The 22,901-nt window shown below is 40.0% G+C and overlaps 1 protein-coding gene across 2 annotated transcripts in view, besides 2 other annotated features; it reads left to right on the forward strand.

Annotated features, from left to right (window-relative positions):
• Window positions 1–22,901, forward strand: part of GRIA3 (glutamate ionotropic receptor AMPA type subunit 3) — a 306,638-nt gene that overhangs the window by 27,188 nt on the left and 256,549 nt on the right. The gene's annotated exons all lie outside the window — the stretch shown is intronic.
• Window positions 5,673–5,967: an enhancer, noted in NCBI's record as "tiled region #4549; K562 Activating DNase matched - State 5:Enh, and HepG2 Activating non-DNase unmatched - State 24:Quies". NCBI's record gives its function as "activates a minimal TATA promoter and a strong SV40 promoter by Sharpr-MPRA in K562 cells, with weaker activation in HepG2 cells {active_cell/tissue: HepG2 | K562}" and the evidence as "EXISTENCE:reporter gene assay evidence [ECO:0000049][PMID:27701403]".
• Window positions 19,173–20,112: an enhancer, noted in NCBI's record as "OCT4-NANOG hESC enhancer chrX:122364489-122365428 (GRCh37/hg19 assembly coordinates)". NCBI's record gives its function as "activates a minimal SCP1, AML or CMV promoter by ChIP-STARR-seq in naive H9 embryonic stem cells {active_cell/tissue: H9 hESC(naive)}" and the evidence as "EXISTENCE:reporter gene assay evidence [ECO:0000049][PMID:30033119]".

Consider the following 22,901-nt stretch of genomic DNA (forward strand, 5'->3'; position numbering starts at 1 on the left):
TCCCTGCTAAGGAAGCTAGTCAAGAGTGGGGATTAGGGTCCTTTAGCTGCTCCCAATGCAAGACACATAAAAAAGTAGCTGAGGTTTTGTTTTCTTATTTATCACCAAAGAATATATGAATTTGAAAGACCTTGCACACAGGAGCTCTCTTGATCCATGGAACATAAACATGTCAGTGTCTTAACTAGCCATGATATACTATCATCTTCCTCTAACAACAGAAATTCAGTGACTTATGCAAAGTTGTAAGAGTCAGTGGCTGAGTCAACAGTCCCCAAAAATCTCTGTCAAAAATTCAAAACTTGTTAATTTATACAAAATATTACAATGACTGCCACTCTCGCTCTTTCTTCGTCTCCTTCTCCCTCTTCCTCTGCATTTCTCTCTCTCTCATACACACACATACTCCACCCTACCTAAGTGCTTCTCAAAGTCAACATGATGGGCTAATTTTTATTGTACCGTATAGTATCGTTATTGAGCATGGACTAGAGCATTCAAATTAATAGACTTGGTATTCAAGTTATTAGAAACCACTAAATATGTCATATAAGGTTTACCAATTTTTAAGAGTTAGAATAAAATAAAATTTACTCATGACTAAAAATATATTGTGTATGAAGTTATCTTTCATTGATGATTCAGCACTGCTCTGGAAAGACTTCACACAGTTAAGTAAAAGACACCATCTTTGGAATGACAGGACCATGAAAGTTTGTTCTAGGTAAAGCAACTGATCCTAAGGTCTCTGGGAAAAGAAACAACCTAGATTATTTCTCAAGTGAGTAAACATTGTCAGAATTGTTATATAAAATGCTAAAAAAAAAATCTTACCTTGAGATTGCAAACTCAAATATTCTTGACACCTTGCCTTCTATTTTCAAATCAGAAATCCCAACTTTCTGCCCTTAAAAGTAATATTGTGGTATCTCATTTTGTAGATCAGAATGTTTACTTCTCTAGAAGTATCTTCATCTTTTGGGCTTTTAAGATATTACCCTGAGAGGTCAAATTTACTATATGGCATTGTCACAACTTCAGGCTTAAATAGGTTCAACAAAATGCCAATTTATCTATCGAGAGCTCTAGGTGATATTGTGTGAATGACAAAGAGTTTGCTGTTGTGTGCCAAGAGTTATATTTAGGTTTCTGGCACAAATTAATAATTACTTATAACATTTTATAAAAACAAGAAATCATCTTGACAGCCTTTCATCCAAAGCAACATCAGTCGTTCTATTAGTATTGGAGTTTTTGCAGTGACAAGGAGAAAATGATGGGTAATAATATCAGAAATAATAGCAAATGCTAGGCATTTGCTAAATGCTTTTACATATATTATGTCACTTAAATCTTCAGCAAACCTATGACATAGGTACTATTGTTAGCTCCAATTTACAAACAAGGTCGCCAAGACCTAGAGAAGTGAGGGTGTCCACAGCAGGGGTCCCCAACCCCTGGTACCAGTTCATGACCTGTTAGGAACCAGGACACACAGCAGGTGAGCCATGAGCTTGCATTACTGCCTGAGCTCTGCCTCCTGTCAGATCAGTGGTGCCATTAGATTCCCATAGGAATGCAAACCCTATTGTGAACTGTGCATGTGAGGGATCTAGGTTGTGTGCTCCTTATGAGAATCTAACTAATGCCTGATGATCTGAGGTGGAATAGTTCCATCCTGAACTCCTCCCCAACCCCCGATGGACAGTCCATGGAAAAATTATCTTCCATGAAACCGGTCTCTGGTGCCAAAAAGGTTGAGAACTGCTGGTCTACAGGATCTTTTGCTCAGACAAAATGACCTGGGTGTAGAATTGCATTGGTTGTTTCATATGACAGAGCATTAATGTTTAGTGAGCATCTACCATGTGCCAGGAACTGGGCCAACTGCTTTACATAAGTTGCCTTATTTAATTCTGCCATCAGCCTTATGAGGTTGTTACTTTTAAACATATTGTACAGATGAAGGGAAGAAGGATACAAAGAAGTTAAGAAATTTTCCCAAGGTCATGCTACTAGTGAGGGCGGAGCTGGGATGTTAATCTAGATAGGTTTGATTCTACAGTTCACACTCTTTCCACTATGAAGTAAAAATCAAACCAGCAAAAGGCAGGAAATAAATTTAGTTTAAGAATAATTTCCATATTGTTTCCTTGGAGTTAAAACTTTAATCATGAAAGCTAATCCCAGTGTCGGTGCCAAGAGTAACTTCCTGTACACAGAGCTTTTATCCTATGGAACACAGGGTTACAGCATTCCGATCACTTTTAGCTTTTAGAGCAGAGAATGGGAACAGGTTGAAGCGATTCTCCAGAATTCTTTTCAGGCCAAATAAAGGGAAAAAATAGACACAAAATGCAAAATCGTCCAAACTTATCCATATGCAGCAGGGCAGCTTTCTCTAAGACAATGAGTTAACTCTTCCATCCCATTAGATCTCCCTCTGAGTACAAGAAGTCAGTCCCTCTAGCCTCAGTGGCCTGAAAGCTTTAATAGCCTACCCAAACAGAAACACCCCATCAGCATTTCTCATTGGAATCCCTTGGAATCATTGTTAAAAATTGCAGTTCCCAAGCCCAAGCCTTGAAAGCAGGACTTAGGAATCTGCATTTTAATAAGTATCCCAGATCACTTATATGCACAGTAAAGTGTGAGAATCACTACACAAAGCAATGAAAGTCTCAAGCCTTGTGTTCTGAATTTAGGATGCTCAGACACAGATAAGCTGAATTTATTTTCAAGGAAGGAAAGTCTCCTTTAATTTAATTAATATTAACAACCTACTTAACATAAGCTTTTAAGGTTTTCAGAAGCAGTAACCGGCAAACAGATTTAAGGTCTGTTCACATCCTTTGTATCTATCCATTATAGCAGGACATAGGATCTGCAACACGACCATATGTAGATCTCAGCAACCCTCTCTTAGCCTTTAAAGTTCCCTATATAAAGTTCAATGTTCATCTAAGAACATTCCATAACCCAGACTTTACCCTAAATAAGACTGATCTTACATAAATTTATCCCTAAATAATGAAATTGAACTATATTTCCCTTCTCACAGTTGAAATCAGTCTAAAGCAGGGAATAGTAGTCTCCATAATAAATAGCAATTAGTTGAGTGTTTACTGTATACCAGGCCCTATTACAAAACAAAATACTCCCTGGATTAAAAGGGCCCACAAGATGATTTTGCCTACTGTAAACTCCTCTTGAACATTCATAATGCACATGAACCTATTAAGGACTGCAAGAGGGCCTTGAAGGAAAGAAATCAATTTATTTTTCTTAACTCAGTTACAAAAACCTATCTGATAGCATACCCCTTTTATGAAGAAAACCTGACATACACTTTGAGAATGTGCTGCTACGCAACAGTGTTTCTCTAAGTGTCAGTGGCATCAAAATGCAAAGTCAGGAGCCCTACCTCAGACCTAAAGAAACCAACTCTGTGAGGGGCTTCAGGAATCTGCATTCTTAGGTACACTGCTCTAAGGTATACCAGGAGAATCAGCAGTTGCCCCAAAGATGACAGTTGAGGGAAATTGTTATAGCTACACTGGCAAGGCTGACTGAAAATTAAACAAAAAATTCCAAAATGGAAACTACCAAGTGACTATATTTCAACAATTGATAGTTCGCCAATCTAAAAAACTTGGGCTTTTTATAGGGGGAGATTCTTGCCCATACATAACTGGGATCCAAGAACAATGCACAGAACAAGTCCCACTAAATTGTCCAGCAAATTCTGCTGCCGCCTCAAGGTATAATAGGAAAACATAGGTGGGTAGATATGCTCTCCCACTTGCTAAGCTGTAGGACTTTAGCAAAACCACTTTACCTCTCTGACTTAGTTTTCTCATCTATAAAATGAGAACAATTATCTCTACCTCAGGGAGCCACTGTGAGAACTAAATGAGGCAGCACACACAAATCTTCTATTATAAATATGAAGTTCACAAACTGTTCGTTCCTTTTCCCCTTCTCTCCTTCCCCTCCTCCCCTAGTACAGTACAGCACTATGATGTCAGCATCATTAGCGTGGAGAAGACAGGAAATGTTGCTGTCAGTTTTAGTGTAGTTACTCTCTTCTGAGGGTAGTTTCCTTTAATGAACCCCTATGTCGCAATACTGAAGTAGCCATTCAATTCTGCTAAGTAGGAGTCAACACCCACTGGGGTACACAGAGATGAAAAGGCAAGTCCTGCCCTCAAGTTGCTCATATCATAGTAGTGAAAATACCTAGTGTGTCAGAAAATGGGAACTCTTTTTCTGGGGGGCAGAGAGATGGACGCAGCTGGTCACAGAGGCAAGCCAAACTGATGCAAAATGCATTATGGCTAAGTTAAATCAGAGAATCCAAGGACACCCAATGTCATCTTTATCTGTCCAGAAAAGCCAACTGCTGACCTAACCCAGGGCTGCAGTTCCAGGGCTCGGTTCCAGCAACCAGCACAAACCCAGTCACAGGCTGCTTTGTGCTTTGTGCCCGGTGCTGTACTACATATCAGCTAAAGCCAGTAAGCTGAGCTGACCTCTGCTCTCTAGGAGGAAAAGCACAGATGAAGGCAAACCTCTAATGCACACGAAAATAAGTGAAAACTTGGTATCAAACAAGCAAATAAATACATTTGCTCATATCATTCTCTTCTCAGGTTCCTGTTGATTTTTCTCTAAGATGAAAAAGCTTAGGTGAGACTGAAATAAATGAACCTCAAGTCCCCAGCCTCCCCTACCTCAGCAACTTGTCAAGAGAGTTGGAGATTTTTTCCATCGTTATTTTTCAAAACCAATTTCCTAACTGTTGCATGACAATCAGCAGTCAAACTAATTGGAATGTTACTTTAACATTTCTTCCTCCTTTTAGCATTTTTTGTGCTGTGTTGTGGGGAGGAAGGGATGTGAGGTTTCAGCGATGCTTACATAGAACCTTACCTTTCCTTTCCTTTCTTATCACTGCTCCCAACTGGGTCTTCAGCTTCTTGGGTCAGTGGGACAAACTACAAGCAACTGCTACAGTGTCCCTTTCAACTTGCATCTCTTCTCATATCTAGTGGGGTTTTGGGGATTGACAAGGTTGGCACTTCTCAGAGATGGAGGGAAGGGAGAGGCAGTGGTTGAGGAGCAGGACCAGAGGATGAAGTGCAGACTTGGCTAGTAATTTCTTGTACCTTCCATTTAACCCTATGCCAAGCCTCCACCACCACCACCACTGAGGAGAAGGAATGTCATAATTAAAGAAGGCTCTACGAATAGCACAGATATTGTTTCTAAACAGGAAAAAGAGTGGTAGGGGAAGGAATTCTATTAAGCAAACATTGTTGGTTTTTCTCCCCCTGATTTTCTTCGAGAAATGTGTGTAGGGAGAGACTACAATGAAGGGTCATAATCTATTAAATACACGGACTAAACTAAGTATGCCATCTCAAAGGAAAACATAAGTAGTGTTTAAAGGTCTGGTCTAGTCTCAGCTGGTCAGCCTAGAATCCACTGGACAACTGCACTTCATTACTAACATCTAACTCCTCAAATAGCCTTTTAGTACTATGTGATGCTGCTAAAGGGCAAAAGGTGCTGACAGGGACCATGGACATTTCTGCAGTGCCTGTCCCCCCGGTAGTGTTCAGATCTTGCAAAGCCAACAAAACTGCAGCATAGGTCAGCTGCAAACTCCCCCTCATCAGAGACCTCCCTGAGCCAGCAAAGTCAAGGCTGTGAGCTCAGGGCCTTCAGAAGGTCACTGGAGAGGACAGTGAGTCTGCAGGATGAGTCAGGAGAATTGAGAAAGCCCAGCCAGTCCCCAGAGCCAGGCCTCTCGTAAGGCAGCCAAGGAAAAAGCTCTGTAAGAACCTGGAACACCCTGATAATGGAGAAGAGGGTGGAGGAAAGAAGCAACAGACAGACAAACTCCCTGTCCTCAGCATCAGCAAAAGAAGGAAGTAGACCAGCTTTATCCTTGACAAGTCCTTATCCCACTTTCAATACCCTCTCCAAATTACCTGAGACACCCACAGAAATGCCAGCCGACCAGGCATTTCCTACCACCCGCAGGTTACCCCTTTCCCCAACAAACTCACCTTTCTCAGAGCTTCCCCAGTATTTCATGTCTTGTTTCCTCAGCATTTCTCTGCCTTGTCATTTTATCATAACTGATCTGGGCCAATACACCAATTCCTGAGTTACTGTGGTCCCCAGCAGGGTCACATATTGGCAAGTAAACAGTTGCCTCTTAGCAACAGAGTACTTGTACCCCAAAGGGTATGTGTGGTGAAAGGATTTCCAATGAAGGGGGGACCTCAGGCAGATAAATCCTGGGGGACCCCACATTCAATTTCATGTGTACTGTTACCTCTCTCTCTCCTTGTTAAAGTGTAAGCCAGCTCAACAGATATCTGGCCAAAAGCCTAAAAACAAATTAGGTCCCAGAGTACCAAGATACCATCTTTTGTGGGCCCCAAGATAAAAGAGCTTCATCTGAATTATTTCCGACAGATTGCAAACTGCTCATTTGTGATATAATCGTTTGGGGGAGGGGAAGAAAAAACAGGAGTTAAGAAAACTGTAGAGGAAGAAAACTTTTAAAGCAACACATAGTATGACAAAAATTGTGTGCTTAAAAGTTTTTGAAACCTTACATTGTTCCAAAGATGCTAAATAAGAAAGTGTATAACCTGAAAGGCCTACCCATGGCATCAGCTTGTATGCCTGGCACCTGGGAGAAAGTTGGGAGGTGGGACTTTGGTGGAAGGAAGAAGGTAATGATTGGCAGTTGAGGCTTTTTCTGAGATGACTGAGGATAAGACAAGCAGCTGGTATTCAGGTTATCCAGCTTATTAGAGGCTGTAGACACCATTTGACTTGCGATGGGTCTGACTTCCTAACATACTGTTCTGAGTTGCAGCTGTGTTTTCAGAATAAAAACATCTAGTCGAGTTTTGAGTTCTAAACTATCTAAGAAAGCATCTAATGATGCTGATTTTTTTGTTTTGTTTTGTTTTTTGTTTTTTGTTTTTTTGACACGGAGTCTCGCTCTGTCGCCCAGGCTGGAGTGCAGTGGCGCGATCTCGGCTCACTGCAAGCTCCGCCTCCCAGGTTCACGCCATTCTCCTGCCTCAGCCTCCCGAGTAAATGATGCTGATTTTTAATGGATATTACTGTCTCTTTAATGAGACTTCTCTGGAGAAAGAATACTGTGACCTCAAATTACTTGTGCAAGTGGACTTAGCAGGCCTGGCAAATGGACCAAGCTTGTCTTTGGGTTCCTTCTCCTTCCTACTTCATAGCTCTGTCTCTCTACACCCCTATCATTGGGACCCATTTTTTTCCTGGTAATTTAGGGCTCCCCGTGACTCCATGCTTTCTCCCATCACAAGAATCTTTCCTATGAGGGCTCAGTTGTCTGCTTTCCAAAGTGACAGCTGGGGGCTAATGAGCTAAAGTGGTAGTGGCTGACAGTGAGTTAAATTCTTGACCCTTCAAATTAGAGCAGTTTGATTGGCAAGGAATGCCTTTCTAATGATAACATTTTAAGCTTGTACTAGGCTGGAGGAGATGGCACTTGTGTGTAACGGGGTGCTGCTTGACACACCTCCAGTCACACAGTGGAAATGGCTGCCTACTTTACCCTGAACATAGCACAGAGGAGGTGCCTTGGCTGTTTAGAGGATGGAAGCAACCAGCTAACAAAAAAAAATTGCTTAATTTACAAATAACCTATTAGCATTGTCAAGAATCCACTCACAGGCAGGTGTCCATCCCTAAGAAGGCTGTGTATTTTACCTATGATTCTTGCTTTGTCTTTTGCACTTCTACCTTTCTTAACTGAGTCTGAGGCAAAGTGAAGTTGCCAAACTGTTAGTGCATTTTTCCTGGGTCATCTATAAACTTGCCTTCCTTACTAATGTTTTAGAATGAGTCTACCTCTAATCCCCACTTTCTTTTAAGGTTCAAGAAGTAGACCTCACTTTACTCAACAGCTGCATTACTGAAAATATGTGTATATGGGAAGGGCAATACCAATAAACACACCTCATTGAATCGATCTATAATGTAAAGAATTCCATTATTCAGTAAACAAGCATAAGGCTGACCTTTGGCCAAATTGACCAGTAATACACAGCTGTGGTCAAAATATTATATGCTCCCATACCAGTTGGTAAATAGCTACTACACCTTGTCCTGGATGCCAGACTGTACTCTGAGATCCCTAGACCTCCACAAGATCCAGCAGCTAATACAGTAATGCCTGACACAGCAAAGGGCCTCCGGGTCCTTGCTCCAGGGCTACAGCTGGAACCTAGACTGATTTGTTGTTTCCTGTGCTTTCCTATGTGAATATTATCCACAATTTCAAAGCTACTGAGTAGCAGGCACTAGGTGTGGCCATGAATGTGGACCATAATTACTTTGCTTAAAACTGTAATAGTGACACTGAGGTTTGTGTCAGTTCACTCTGCCCCATGCATTCCCATGGAGCAGAACGTCCACGACCTTCAAAAGATGGACGACATGAGCCCTGTTTCCAAAATAGCACTTGGCAGGCAGCCTAGATTTGGATGTGAACAGCAGACACAGGCTATGGGCATGATGGGCCAGCCCCCTGTCACATCACCTCAGGGGATCCTCAGCCTCATGGGACTCACTAGAAAATCCTTTACATCTGAAAAGCAGAAATTATCTAGTCCACCTGAGTGCCCTGGGAGTGGGTCTGTATTCTTAGCCTCATGCTTCCAGTGCTGAGTTTAGAACAAAAGCCTCTATTCAAGGTCATATGGTGAGTCAGCTACTGAACAGGGAGTGAAAAGAAAGGGGGAACAAACAACCCACAACAGGATTAGCTTGAGCTGCCTCAACCTATGAGAAAGGCCTGGTCAAACCATTTATAGTCTTCATATATAGATAGCTTGAAGAATTGCCTCTGAAGGGTGTTAATGAACATAGGTAAGGAAGAATGGTGATAGTTAATCAGCAGTCCTGGAGACACAAATTTGTGGTCGCCTTGTGATACAGGTAAATTATACAATGAGTTTCTGCTTGCTGTCCTTATGTGTATCTTAAGAAATAACTCCTTCATTCTACCTCAGGTAAAAGCTCACTCTTTCTCCCAATGCACCTTGGCTACTGTCAACCTTGCACTAATATAAATGGATTCCTCCTTGTGCTAAAGGGAAGCAGAAAGAGCCCCATGTCTGAATTTGGAAGGTCTGAATTCTACTCTTGACTCTGCTAACTCTCTTGGTAACATTCAGGGAGACACATTCTGTTGTTTCATTTTCCTCTTTTTATCAAATAGGGATGACACTACTTCCTACTTCATGGGCTGGCATAGGAAGAAAACAGTATTATACATAAGACTATTCGAACATTCCAGTACCCTCCAAATACATGAGGAAATATGACTGTCTCAGAGATGCTCAATGAGTACATGGAAACCAGCACTTATAGCACTTATCAAGCACCTACTATGTGCCTGGCACTTACACACTCATAGTTTTGTTGATCCTGACAACAATTCTATGGAGTAGATATTAGTTGTGGCATGTTAAATGATATGGGATAAAAATGACAATAAAATATGTCAGTGCATTCAAATTTTAACTTTATTTTTGAAGTAAGTAAATTTGATCCCCCTTAAATAACAAGCTTGCACACACACACTAAAATGGAATCCAAACTACAAATGACACAACAGATCAGTTTAGCATCAACTTGCATTTCTAAGATAAAATTGAAAGTAAACGTGTGAATCATTCCATAATTTATATCACAGAAGCAAAATATGGTTTGTGAAAGCTTGGAAAACATGTAGGGTAAGGATTATTACCCTGGAAGGAATGCATAGGTGTTTAAAAGGTAGACAATAAGTCTAAACAACTCCTCACGTTAAAATGACATAGTACAAGGAGGTAGAAATACAGCTTATATTGGGCTTAAGGTAGCAGCACTGTGGGGCCTCCCAGAGGGGCACACAGAATGCCTTAAGAAAGGTACTGGGTGGAAACCCAGGTGGAGATATAAAATGAGGCAACAAAGAAAGGAAGGCTGATTTATATAAATTTTCAAATGCAAGCATGTGTGAGACTATCCAGGATATTGCAGACCTGTAGTTTCCTCCCTGACCAATGACAGGCTACAGCCGAAGCTGAACTCTGTTCCTTACAACCTTGGCCAAAGGAGGGATGAGATGCTTGAGGGGAGGGGATAGAGAGAGGGTGGCTGTTAACACTTTTATCCTCATCTTACACAAAGAAAATGGGGCCCAGAAAGTTGTTTCTTCAGGCATGCAGCTCATAACAAGGGACACTGGGAGTCAAACAAAAGTATATATGACCTTCCTATACATACTTTGTGTAAACAAAGTATATATGACCTTTTTATACTATAAAAATCCATGTTTTTTCCAAGAAAATGCACCACTTCCCCAAATCACATTCTCTTTCTCCCAAAAATGGTGCCAAACCCTTGGGTGATAGTGAAACATTGCTCCAAGCCCTTTCTAACTTAAGCGCCCCTCACAATGACCACACCACTAGTCATAAATGATGAACATCTGTAAGCATTCCTACAAATGCTAAATATCACCATTTCATTGGTCAATAAGGGGAGACTATGTGACCAAGAAGCAGAGCAGTTCTCTATTAACAAAGCTAACCTACCTTCCCAGGAGATCAAACTCATCCATGGCTTTATCTTGTCTCTCTTCTTTCCTCAGCCTCCCAGGCACAGAGATCCCTGAAGGCCAAGACTCTCTCTAAAACATTCCATCCAAATAGCCCCCATAGCATCCAGCACAGTACTTAACACATAGCAGACACTCAAAATATTTTATGAATCAATGAACTCTGTTTCTCCCACCATGTGTATAACAGTATGTCCTTAATGTCTTCATGTTATTAGAATCCTTGTGAAATTTAATCAGAGATTATAATGCAAAAAATATAAGAAATTGAGATGAAGGTAATAGTTGGCTTCTGAGAAACTCTCCTCTTTCTCAATCACTAACCTAGTAACATTCGTTCTAGTCTCATATCTAATACCACCAACCAGAGGAACTAGAAGAAAACATCTCAGCTTCACCATTTTTAAAATTAATCGTATTTAGCTAGAGCAGAAGTTCTCCTCCCTAAGTTTTCATGAGAATTACCTGGGAAAGCTTTAACAAAAACTGATGCTAGATTCTGTTCCCAGGGTTTCTGGTTTAGTTGATACTGGGTGAGACCTGAGCATCAGTGTTTTTTAAAAACTCCCCAGTGAATCTGAAATGTTGCTAGGGTTGAAAACCACTGGGCTAGATGATCCTTGAGGTCCCTTCTTACTCTGAAAATCAATATGCTGACTATAGCTGGGTGTCTGTTGATGTCATGGGTTGTTCTGACTGTTCTCCACTTTCCTCTCTAATACTGCACACCACGAGATCTATATCAAGTTGCTCAACAGCCTAACATCTTGTTTCCCTCCATTTACCTATTGACTTAAAACTTTGTGTACTCTTGGGGCTCCTAAGCACAACTATTGAGATCTACTTTTAATGCTATGTGGGTCATTTTGCCACCAAAGAAGCTCCCCTGGCACCACGATGTGTCCCCAAAGCACTATCTGGCCTGCCCTGCTTCCAGGCGGGAAAGCCCAACAAGCAAGCATGAACAGCTGGAGTGTTCCCACTGATCTGGAAGGAATCCGTAAGGACAATGCACTACTTTCTATTTCACTGGACTCTTTCATGGCACTGAGCCTGCCTATTCCATTCGGCCCTTTGTCAAGAATGTCCTTGACACTTAAGGAATTGATTTCTTCTTCCTTTCCTTTAAATAATAAGCCAACAGATACGCAGGAGTTTTATAAGGTATCAATTTAACATACAAACTGCATTATGGCCTTTGAATGCTACAGCAAGAACCAATGCCTCATCAGCCAGAAAGACCAATATAGTGACAACCTAACGTTTTCTTAACCTGTCAAAACATTCCTGTGCTCTGGGCTTACTGAGAGCAGACATGCCAAGGATTTAGAAATGTCAAATTAAAATAGTCTGGGCTATTTTCAAAAAGACATGAGCCTTTTTAACCACTAGCATTCTATCAGCAATGCTTTTTCAGAATGTAGGGCTGCTAGAAGGCCCTCTTTCTGAAGAACGGTGTGAACATTACACAGGGAACAGAGAGTTTCTCAAGGTCATATGATGGTTTTCTAGAAGCACTTCAACACAAATGTTTGCCTCATCTGTGGTTAGATGAGAAGGGCTGGAAATGTGGGGCAGGATAAGGGTGGAAGGGAGCACAGGGCAGGAGTCTAAATGAAAAATTCCCATACTACAAAGATCCTAAAATACAAATTTGAAAAAATAGAATCTGGCATGGCCTTTTAGTGATACACAGCTAAGGTGCTCTTCAAGGATGGGAAAGTGCAGAGGTGCTTTGTTGTAGACCCTTGGTCAAATTGCCAAAAGTACATGAGGTCATTATTCTTTTCATTGCCAAATGTGTGGGAAGAGTAATCATCTCACCTTGCCCATTTGTTCTTCAGATTTACCTCCCATATTCACCACTCTGCTGCAACTGCTCTCATTCAGACACCAGTGATCTCCTAACAGCCAAGTCCTGTGGTTAGTTTTCAGTTCTCATTCTGACTGGCACATCTATAACTATTTGATACTGTTGACCATCCTTTCCTTCTCTGACTTCTGTGATGGGGTCTCTCTCTAGATTCTCCTCCTATTTCTGTACTTTTATTTTCAGTTGCTTTCTTAAGCTAGTCTTCCCATATCCAGCTCTTAAATGATGGAGATTTTTCTTAGCCCTTTTCTCACTTTTGCAAAAGCTTCCATGCTATGACTTACATGATTCTAAGTCTTTATCTCTTGTCCCAAAATCCTTCCAAACTCTAAGCTCATATAGTCAACGCTCTTTTTGGACATCTTCAACCCAACAGACACTTATCCCCATTCCCAGTCTGCTCCTTCTCTTCTATTATTTCAGTCGCTACAATAACTTTCTAACTGGTCTCCCAACTGGCATTCTTTTTCTCATCTCTAACCTATTCTCCTCGTTTTTTTCCAGAGTTTTCTCTTGAAAACATAGATATATATCTGACATTTCCACTCTGTTTAAAAACTTTTATCGGGGCTTTTTTCTACTTATAAAATAAATCTACTCATTATCCCATAACATTCAAGGTATCTAACAAGCCAGTCCTGTTTTACCTTTCTAGTTTTACTTCTGATATCTCCCCTGTCATCCCTACTACTTCCCAACACCTCAATCCCACCTATCTTACATATTTAAATTATCTAAATTATTTAAAGCAGTTAAATATTTAAATTTTAAATCATTTAAATATTTAAATGTAAATCCTTAAACATGCCGGGCTAGCTCATGGCTCAATGCTTTCTTTCACACTATTTCTTGTAGCTGGAAGAATTCCCCCTTCCCATATCCAAATCATAGTTTTAAAATGTCACCTTGACCAACTAAAATGTCACCTCCTGTGTAAAATCTCCAGGCAGAATTAATCGTGGTTTCCTCTGAACTTTCTGCAAACCATAACTGTAGCACTTATGCACATTGTTTTACAATTAGGTGCGTGAAACCTCTTTAAAGATGGGGATTCTGCCACAGACTTCATGTTTAATATGTCTGGTTCTGGAATCAGAGACTTGGATTTTAGTACCAGCTCTGGCACTTACTAGGTATGTAATTTGGGGCAAGTCAACCGGTGTCTCTAAGCTTCAATGTTCTCATCTGCAAAACAATAACAATAGTGTTGCAAGTAAATGAGATAATGCATACAAAACACCTATAGTGCCTGACACATAATAAACACTCAACAAATGTTAGCTATGACTATTTTTCTGTGCCTGGCATATGGTCTTGCACGGAGCGAGTACCCAATAAATGATTACTGAATAAATTAATCATAGCATGGAAGACCTAAGAACATTTGCTAAATGGACAGTTTCTTCCTTTATTGAATCTTGGAATTCCTGTCAGAGGCATAAAAAATGGGTTACATAATGAATTTATTTCTCTGTAGTCAAGTAATAATTACAGTAGCAATTGGGATAACCAAAAGCTTTGTCTGTGCAGTTTATCTTTTGAACCTGAACCTATTACATCTTTAGTCCCAGGAACTACATGTTTTGAAGTGTACATTTCAAACTTCCTTTCCAAGATAAATCCAAAGACTTTTTTTCTACTCTAACATTTCACAAATAGGATGAATCAATTAATGTGATAATTATTTAATACACCAAGCAATAACTTTTAAGGTGTAATGGTAATTGAGCCCAGCATGCTTGAAAATACCATTCTCTGAGTCAGGTTCAGCAACATGTCTTGAAGTTGGGACCTTAGAGGCTTAATTCATTCTAAACCCCCTCTACCAATATAAAATTTAAATTAATGGTATTTCTGACTCTTGGTCCCTTTCACCTATAATTCTTCTTAATCTCTTGACCTCTATTTCATTCATGAAATCCCAAAAGATTATCTTTCACAGTGAACCCACAGTAATCTGTTTAATATCCCTTGATAAGAAATATCCCTTTAAAAAGCCAAATTCTGCCATGCTTTAAATAGAAACCCTATTTGCTGAGACAAGACAAACACTTATAGTCTTTTTCCTTTACTTGGTCCTAGAAAAGGCCCAAAATAAAACATACATGTCAAGTCCATTGTAAATGGATGTGGAAACCAGACATTTGAAGTGTTATCATCACCATCATTAGCATCATCATCACCATCATCTTCATCATCATTATCATAAAAAACAACATAACAACAGTTCAAGAAGTTTGGAAAATGAGGATATGGGTTTATCTAAAACTCCACTACCCACATAAAACTAGAATTATTTTTGTATATTTTTCCATTCTTTCTCATTGGCCTACATTTTTTCAAAGCTTGCTCCCAAGTATTCCCAGGTATACCAAGGAGATTTTAAGAACTTCAGAAAAACTGTGATTCTAAATGTATAACTGCCTAGAAAGTTTCCCATTGCTTCAGTTTTTCAGAGAAAGACACTCTGAGAGTACAGATGGTATAATGGCCCAAGTCTACAAAAAGTTTCATTTCTGTGCATACATACCACCCATTCTACGATAAGGTGTTGGGGATCAGCTGATGAGCTGACCAAACATGCCCATAATAATCCTGGACAAAGGCTGAGACCAGCACTTTTTACTTCAATTTGGACTCTGAAAGAAAAATTATATGAGGAAAGGTGAGGATTCCCTAATGATAATAACCTCAATCTTCATGATATTAAAACATAATAATTAAAAGGCAGAGAGAGACTTTAAAAACCCCATTGAGATTTCAAAAGAACAATACAATATGCAAATAGTCATTCTTGTATGCAGTTCATCATTGATTATCCATGAGAACAGAAAGGAGCTGAAGCTTTGGGGCATGTTCAGTAATATTTATCTGCAACTTCTAGCTTCCTGTCCCTCTCCCTGACCCCCTCCAATACACACACACACTTAGAATAATATTTATTTTAGATTATGTTTTGTATGTTCACGAAAATCTAATATGACCACTAATAAAAGCTGAGGTTTATGGCCTTGTTACCTTTGTCTCTCAAATTTATATTCCTTCATTATCTTCTGCACCTCTTGAAAACCACACAGATTCCTCCTCCTCTTTTTCCCTTTTCCCACTTATCTAGGCTAAATGATTTAATACTGCATTTTATAATATTTTATGTTGTTCTTGAATCATTTAATGTCACTTAAGGTTACTTCCTTAACTGGATCATGAGTTCTTTGACAATTTATGCATGGTACCTTTTTTTCTATCTGCTGTGATCCTTGTGACATAGACTATGAGTTACTTGAGGCCTTATTTTCCTTTGTCTCCTCAGCACTTATTACAGTACCTAACAGTGGAGCTATTCAATAAAGCAAATATTTAATAAAGGAATAAATGAATGGACGAATGAATGGATGGATGGATAAAAAGACAGCATCCAAGAAATGTTACCTAGCTGATGAGTGGACTTCAGAGCACTTGCCAGCAAGAAGGGTGGCCAGCAAGTGTTGATAAGTCAGTCAGCAATTACTTATTGAGCACCTACTATCTGCCAGACACAGATATTCTGTGGGGGAAGGGGAGGGGAACAAGAGAAAGCAGGCCTAGAATTGAAAATCAGATGTGTACAAGTCACAAAGTGGAACACAATTGCCCAATTGTCTGACTTTTTGTCATTATTTTCTGAGTGTAGCATGGGTGAATATTTTTCTCTACCATGAGGCAAACTAATTTGGGAGGCAGAGTATTACCATCTTTTCTACTATTCTCTTGTCTTAGGTTGAGTTGAATAGTTCAAGTATTGAGATGTGTAGTTTCTTCTGTAGTATCTTCCCTGCTCTGTCACCATCCTTTTCAGACAATAGAACATGAGTTGGAGAGACATTCTGAGTTCTAGTGAAGTCACTGAAGCCAACTTGCCAATGAGTAAGAGGTAAAGACCTAGGGTGTGAGGAAGGACTTGCATTCAAGGCTGTTTGAACTTTCCGTGTTAAGCCTTCGCTTCCATTTTGGAGACTGGAGCCTTTCAGCTCCTCCTGTCCTTCTGGCAACTCTTAGGAAAAAATGCTTAAATAACAATAACAGAGCAGCAGAAAGGAAGAATGGAAATTATCGTAATAGCATGGACTTGTTGCGCCAACATTGTTAGCCTCTCAGCAGCCAACTCCATGGAGCTGCCCTATGCTTGTCAATGAAAGGATAAAAAGGATATGAAGGAGACATTTTATGGGGCCATTTCAGCTGTTCACTGTAAATACACCCTCCATCAAATATAGTGAGCTGGGACCTAGAGATCACAGACAGCTGGGTTGCTTGAAAAGAGAAAAGACATTATAGTAAATTGTATTATTATACATTTACTGAGTTCCAGGGTTTCTGGGAGGGCCTCAAAGATCCAAGGGAGCATTTCCAACCAGTGGCTTGAAGCACTGCCAGGCTGGGGGTAAGCTCAAGGCCAACTAATGGGTCCAATGACATGAGACTATAACTCTGGTGGTTGCGAATTTGGTTAGGGGCTAGTATGGACATTTTTTTAGGGTAGAAGCACTTAGCAGGTGAGCCAAAAATGAATATTTTTTATAGAAAGATTCAATAACACCATTGAGTGTACTGCCTGGCCTCAGTGATGCCTTCTGGTATTAAGGATCCATTCAAAAGCAGATGTCTAAATCTGAGGTTTTATGACAATGCCTCACCATATCCAAAATCATTCACTCTCATCCCTCACCCCTCAGTAACTAGGCAAGGACACATAAAACATATCCAGTCCAAAGGCACAAATCAGGCAGTTGTCCTAGTAGGGTTGGAGAAGGTGGGGGATCCCTTGGATTGCCAGAGACCTATGAAAATCAGTATATTGCTGATGGAGTGAAGTTAGGGTTGCCATAGGAGGGCAGTTCAACACAGAGGTCAGTAAATCAGTTGATTTAATTATATAACACATATTACAAAATGGGGCCACGCTTTATTGAAGCCTGATTGCCACAGGCAACACACTTGCTTAATTCAAAAGGAGGAATTTCTCGCTGGGGTTGAAATGCTAGAAACTCTGTGTTCAACACACCAGATCGTGCCCATCTCCATGATGGGTAGCAGGAATTGGCAGTGGAAAAAAATCTGAGAGCCGGAAGATTTCTTACAGATTAGACATTGACCCCTACTCTTGCAGATAGAAAAACTGAGGCCAGCAGTGTACTCAAGGGTGCATTGCAGGTCTACAATTCAGGTCCTGACTCCCCAGATTGATGTGCTTTCCATTATACCATATTACTTCTCACTGTATATAACATTCATCATGATGACCGTGAAACTGTAAAAGACTTGGAGGTACTTTCTGATTTATTAGAGAAAAACCATAGTCTGTTCCTTCTATTGCCAGTCTGTCATGAATTTCATCACAGTTACTTTTTTTGCTTTTTTGTATCTATAAAAATTATTTATTAAACAAAACTGTAAATTAATCTGAATAGCCTATTCCCTACCAGATAGCACATCATGTTAGGAAATGCAATGTGCTCGTTCCCTCAGCAGCCATCTCCTGGATTATTTAGGGGATCTGTGCCTCTGTCCAAGACCTAGGGAAAAGAAACTGGGAGTAAAAACAGAGGCCAGCTTTCAGAGCAAGGTGCTTGTCTGGGATTATATTTTCTCTTTCTTTTTCTTCCATAGCACCTAACACATTGTGGGGCACACATTTGTATCCATAACTGCTGATTGGTTCATCACAGAAATCCCCAGTCTGTGATGCTCTGCTGGAGATAGAAGAGAGGGTCATTGGCTTAGTGAGATAAGTCATTGTAGCTTAACAGAAAGATAATAGCTCTTGTACTTATATGGACCTGAATTGAGATAACATATGTAGAGGCCTAGCATGGTATCTGACAAATAGTGAGTGTTCCTCAAAAGGTGTTCATTATTATGATTATCATGATGCAAAATATGTGTGCCAGAAGGACTAAAGCTTCCCAGGGGATCTGGATCACTAATCAAATGCTGAGGGGGAAGTCAGCATGCTAAAACTTAGGAGTCTTTGCTAAATGCATGATTTGGGGAGGAGGAAGAAAAAAAGAATTCCCAGTTCCTCTACTGAAGGACCACTTTTCAGCACTTTCTTCTGAGGTGTGCAAGGTCTGTTGTCACTGTGGAGTAGTTCCAGATGGTTTTTAGTACCTCATTGGACTTTTGGTGCCATCACGAAGTGGAGGAGGCCAATGCTCCCATGTTGAACATTAGTTACTTGAGGAAAGCTTATTGCAATACTCCCTAATCTTCTAAATAGTACCCCATGTTCTGCAATTTTCCTAATTCACCCTTAAAGTCCTAATGGAAACTAACCCATCTTGTGTCATATGCCCCCAGGACCTTGGCCTTAGTTAATACAAAAACTAATTTATTCAGAAGTGTTAACGATCACTAATACCTTGTTTATCTCAGGTGATCCACATATATTTTCACTTTCATGAACCCTCCATGTCAACCTAAAATGGTTTGGTAGAGATTTCTGACACCTGAGTAGGCTGGTGGGGGAGATATTTATGGGCATATAGGAGCATTTTGGTAGTCCTCAAACCATATCATGTGGGCAGCTCTGCTTCAGATCATTCTAGAAAATCAACTGGGTATAAATTATAAAAATAACAAAAAGAGAAAATTGCCTACTCAACCTATGTGTAGGGCTTCCCAGCTGTCACTTTATTCAATTCTGTAGATATTTTGAACACCTACTCTGAACCTGGCACTGTGCTGACTGCTGTGGATACAAAGATGGCTATGACACATCATTGGAACTCCTAGTTCTATCATCCAGCTGGGGCCCTAACAAAACTTAGAGCTACTTATTTGGTTGACAAAGGAAATAAAACAGCAGACAAAGCCAACAGCTGTTTGCTTATAACCACTTATAATCAGAGACGTCTCTCCCTGGTTTAAATACTTCTCTTTATCTCAAACACAAAGAGGATGAAGATATCCATGTGAAAAAGCCTACTCTTAAAGGTAAAAGCTAAACAAAGAACAAGTGATAAGAGAAGTGAATTCTGCAGTGAGCAAATTGCTAGTCTTTTCAGAAACAAACCTACACGGTCTGGTACCAGGAAATAGCCTTTGATGAGGAATCCACTAATTAAACCTGTTTTTACTGTGACTATTCAAAACATTAGCACCCTGGAGATCTCTGGAAATAAATAAAAGGCAGAAAATCCCAGGCAGTTTAACAGAAATATTTTCTCCCACTGGTGAGAACGATAAACCCGACTTCAAAGGAATCATAAAACATTCAAGCCAGAAAGAACCTTAGAGATCATTGGATTCTCATTTTTCAGGTGAGGAAATTAAAGCTCAAAGAGGCCCAGGGACACACCTATGGCCGCACATCTAGAAAATGAGCTCTGGGACTAGAATCCAGAGCTCTTGAATGCTATTTATTCATGAATCTGGTCAGTCGGTCAACTAAATTTCTTGAGCAACCACTATGTGCCAGTCATTGTGCTACGATTGGTCCCTATCCCTGTCCTTATAAAGCTGGAGGAAGCAGATATTAAACAAATGGCAAATTAATTATTTATAAATGTAATCCATGCTGTAAAGATTAAGTAGAGGATGGAATGAAAGTAATCTAGCCTTTTTGAGGGAGTAAGGGATGGCATGGCTTAGGCTAAGAAATGAAAGATAAGGGCAAGTTCCCTAGCCAGGTAAAAATTGACCATGTAGTTGGAAGTGGAGGTCTGAGGGAAGAGAACATTCTAGATGGCATATGGAAAGGTGCTTGCAGTCCAAAACTATCCCAGCTCCCCCATCTGCCCCTCTCAAAATCCAGACGTCTCACCCTTTTTATAAAACAGCGATCTACAGTATATAGAGATATATTTTCAGAAGTATGGGTGTGTAGTAGGAAGGAGGCATCATAGCCATCTGGACCTATTAAAATACTTATTAAATCACTTCACTGATTAAACAGTTATTTTTACTAACCAATGCCATACACCAAGGCAGATAATCAGTGTTTTATGCTTCTGGAAAGGTCACATCCTCATCCTTTTGCATGGCACCTGGAAATAAAATAAGCCTATATTCAAAGCAGTAGATGTTAAATGATGCTTACTGAAAATAAGTCCTCACTTTCAAGTAGAAATAAGAAGTAATGGAATTTTCACATATGTATGCAGAAGATGACATAGCAGTAGGTCAGCAGGCAACAACCAGACCTTAACCCCTTCCAGCTCTCACTAGAAGTACCCTGTCCACAAGGGCAAGCAACTAAAACTATGTAGCAGTTGCTAACTCCACAAGGGGTTTGGAGTCCTGCATCCCAAATGAAAAGGGGTAATTCTGAGGCTCTCAGAGGTCATTTCTGTTATGGCACCTGGAATGTGCCTACCATCTAGTCCCCCACTTTCAACTCAGGTTAAAATTAACTGTTAAAAAGAAAGCAGAATGGTGGTTGCCAGGGGATAAGGGAAGAGGGAAATGGGGAGTTATTATTTAGTGGGTACAGAGTTTCAGTTTTACAAGATGAAAAGAGTTACGGAGATGGTGGTGATGGCTGCACAACTTTATGAATGTATTTAATACCACTGAACTGTATACGTAAAATTGTTAAGATGGTAAATTTTATGTTAAATATATTTTACCATGATAAGAAATAAATTTAAAAAGTTAACTGCTATGCCTGCACCAAAACATCTCACGTACTTTATAAATATATATACCTACTATGTACCCACAAAAATTAGAAATTAAAAAAATTAACTGTTAATATTAAACTATGATGAGTCACAAGCAGCATAATAATGAAAGCTATCCTGTTATGGGCACTATTTGTTTTATATGCATTATATTATTTTACTTTCATGACAGTCCTTTGGCATGGGTTCTATTCTTGGCATTTTGCAGGTGAGAAAGCTGAGCCTTTGAAAAATTAAACAATTTGACCAAAACCACACAGATAATAAATCTACCCCCAAAGTGAGTGAGCTTATTTTCTTGAAATAATCAATGAAGGCAAAGATTTGTGTCTTCTTACTCACTGTCATATTCCCACCACCGAGAACAATAATTGGCATAGAGCAAGTGCTTGGTAAATATTTGGTGGAGTTGGAGTCCAATCAAAGCAGTCTTCTTCTAGAGTCTACTTAGCCACTGGATGAAATGCCTCCAAGGTCTCTATCCCTCAGCCTCCATCTATTTAGGTTCTTATCTCTTATCTGGGAACCACAGTGTGCTCCTAACTACTTGTCTTCACTACCATTCCCAGGCTTCCCAAGGTTTGCAACTCTTCCTGACATAACACTTAAGCCTAGGGATACCCCTTACTGAACAGCCTTCCGAATGCCACAGGCCCTGCTTAGTCCTCATTAGTGCATTTCAGATATTCCATGTTCACATCCTAGCTCTGACATATGCTAGCTATGTTGAACAAGTTGGGTTACTTCTCTGAACCTCAGTTTCCTTATCTGTAAAATGGAAAAAAATCACTTACCCTCTCTGAGCCTCAGTTTCTTGTTTATCTCCCAGGTCTCTTCTAGCTCTCAAGCCTTCATGACTAACACACTGGTACCACAGATCTATTGCTGCCCCACCCCTAATGACTTACAGCCCCTTGTCAAAGTTCTGCAAATAGGTCTGGTGCCATGAGAATTTGCTAGGCTTTTAGTTACTAAGATCTGCCTGCAGTTACCAAATATGCAGAATTCAATGATTTCTTACCTCTTTTGAAGAGGTATACATAGTATTTCTGCCTTTATTCCTACCTAAGACATTTTATGCTTAAGATCTAGAAATGAAAGAATGAGCAAGATGTCTTCTGCCTGGGAATTTGATGATCAGAGGTTGAAGCCATGAATAGTAAGTATTTGAGGAGAAGTATTAGCTATATAAAGCTGTTAGCTTGTTGATAGGACCTAGAAGGACTCCTATGTATAATTCCTAAAAACTTACCTTTTTTTCATGTTTTCCTTTTCTGAAAGGAAATGCTACAGTAAAATTAAGAAAATAATGGTCCCTGTTTTATGGCCTCAAAACATTGTTCCTTCCATTTGCATGGGTAACACCATGGAGTCCTGGAAAAATAATATTAACCTTGTAGAAGAAAATGAAGCCTGTTGCCTTAGGCTTGCCTGGAGCTATTCCCTTCTGTGGCCTCTCCTTCTTATGAACTATGACCTTCCCAGATGCTACCACCTGGTTGACAGGGATCTGCCCCAGTAGTGGAAGGCTAACTGACCCCCTTACAAACTGGCCCTATGACTCTGGCTTAAGCAGGCCACAGAATTTCCAGCCACTTCCATCATTATCTATGAATCCATCCCTTCCACACACAGCAACAGAGCCATCCCCATGACAAACACCCTTTTGGTCCTTATGCCACTCTCTAAAGCT

Source organism: Homo sapiens, chromosome X (genome assembly GCF_000001405.40).
Source record: "Homo sapiens chromosome X, GRCh38.p14 Primary Assembly".
NCBI classification, from domain to species: domain Eukaryota; kingdom Metazoa; phylum Chordata; class Mammalia; order Primates; family Hominidae; genus Homo; species Homo sapiens.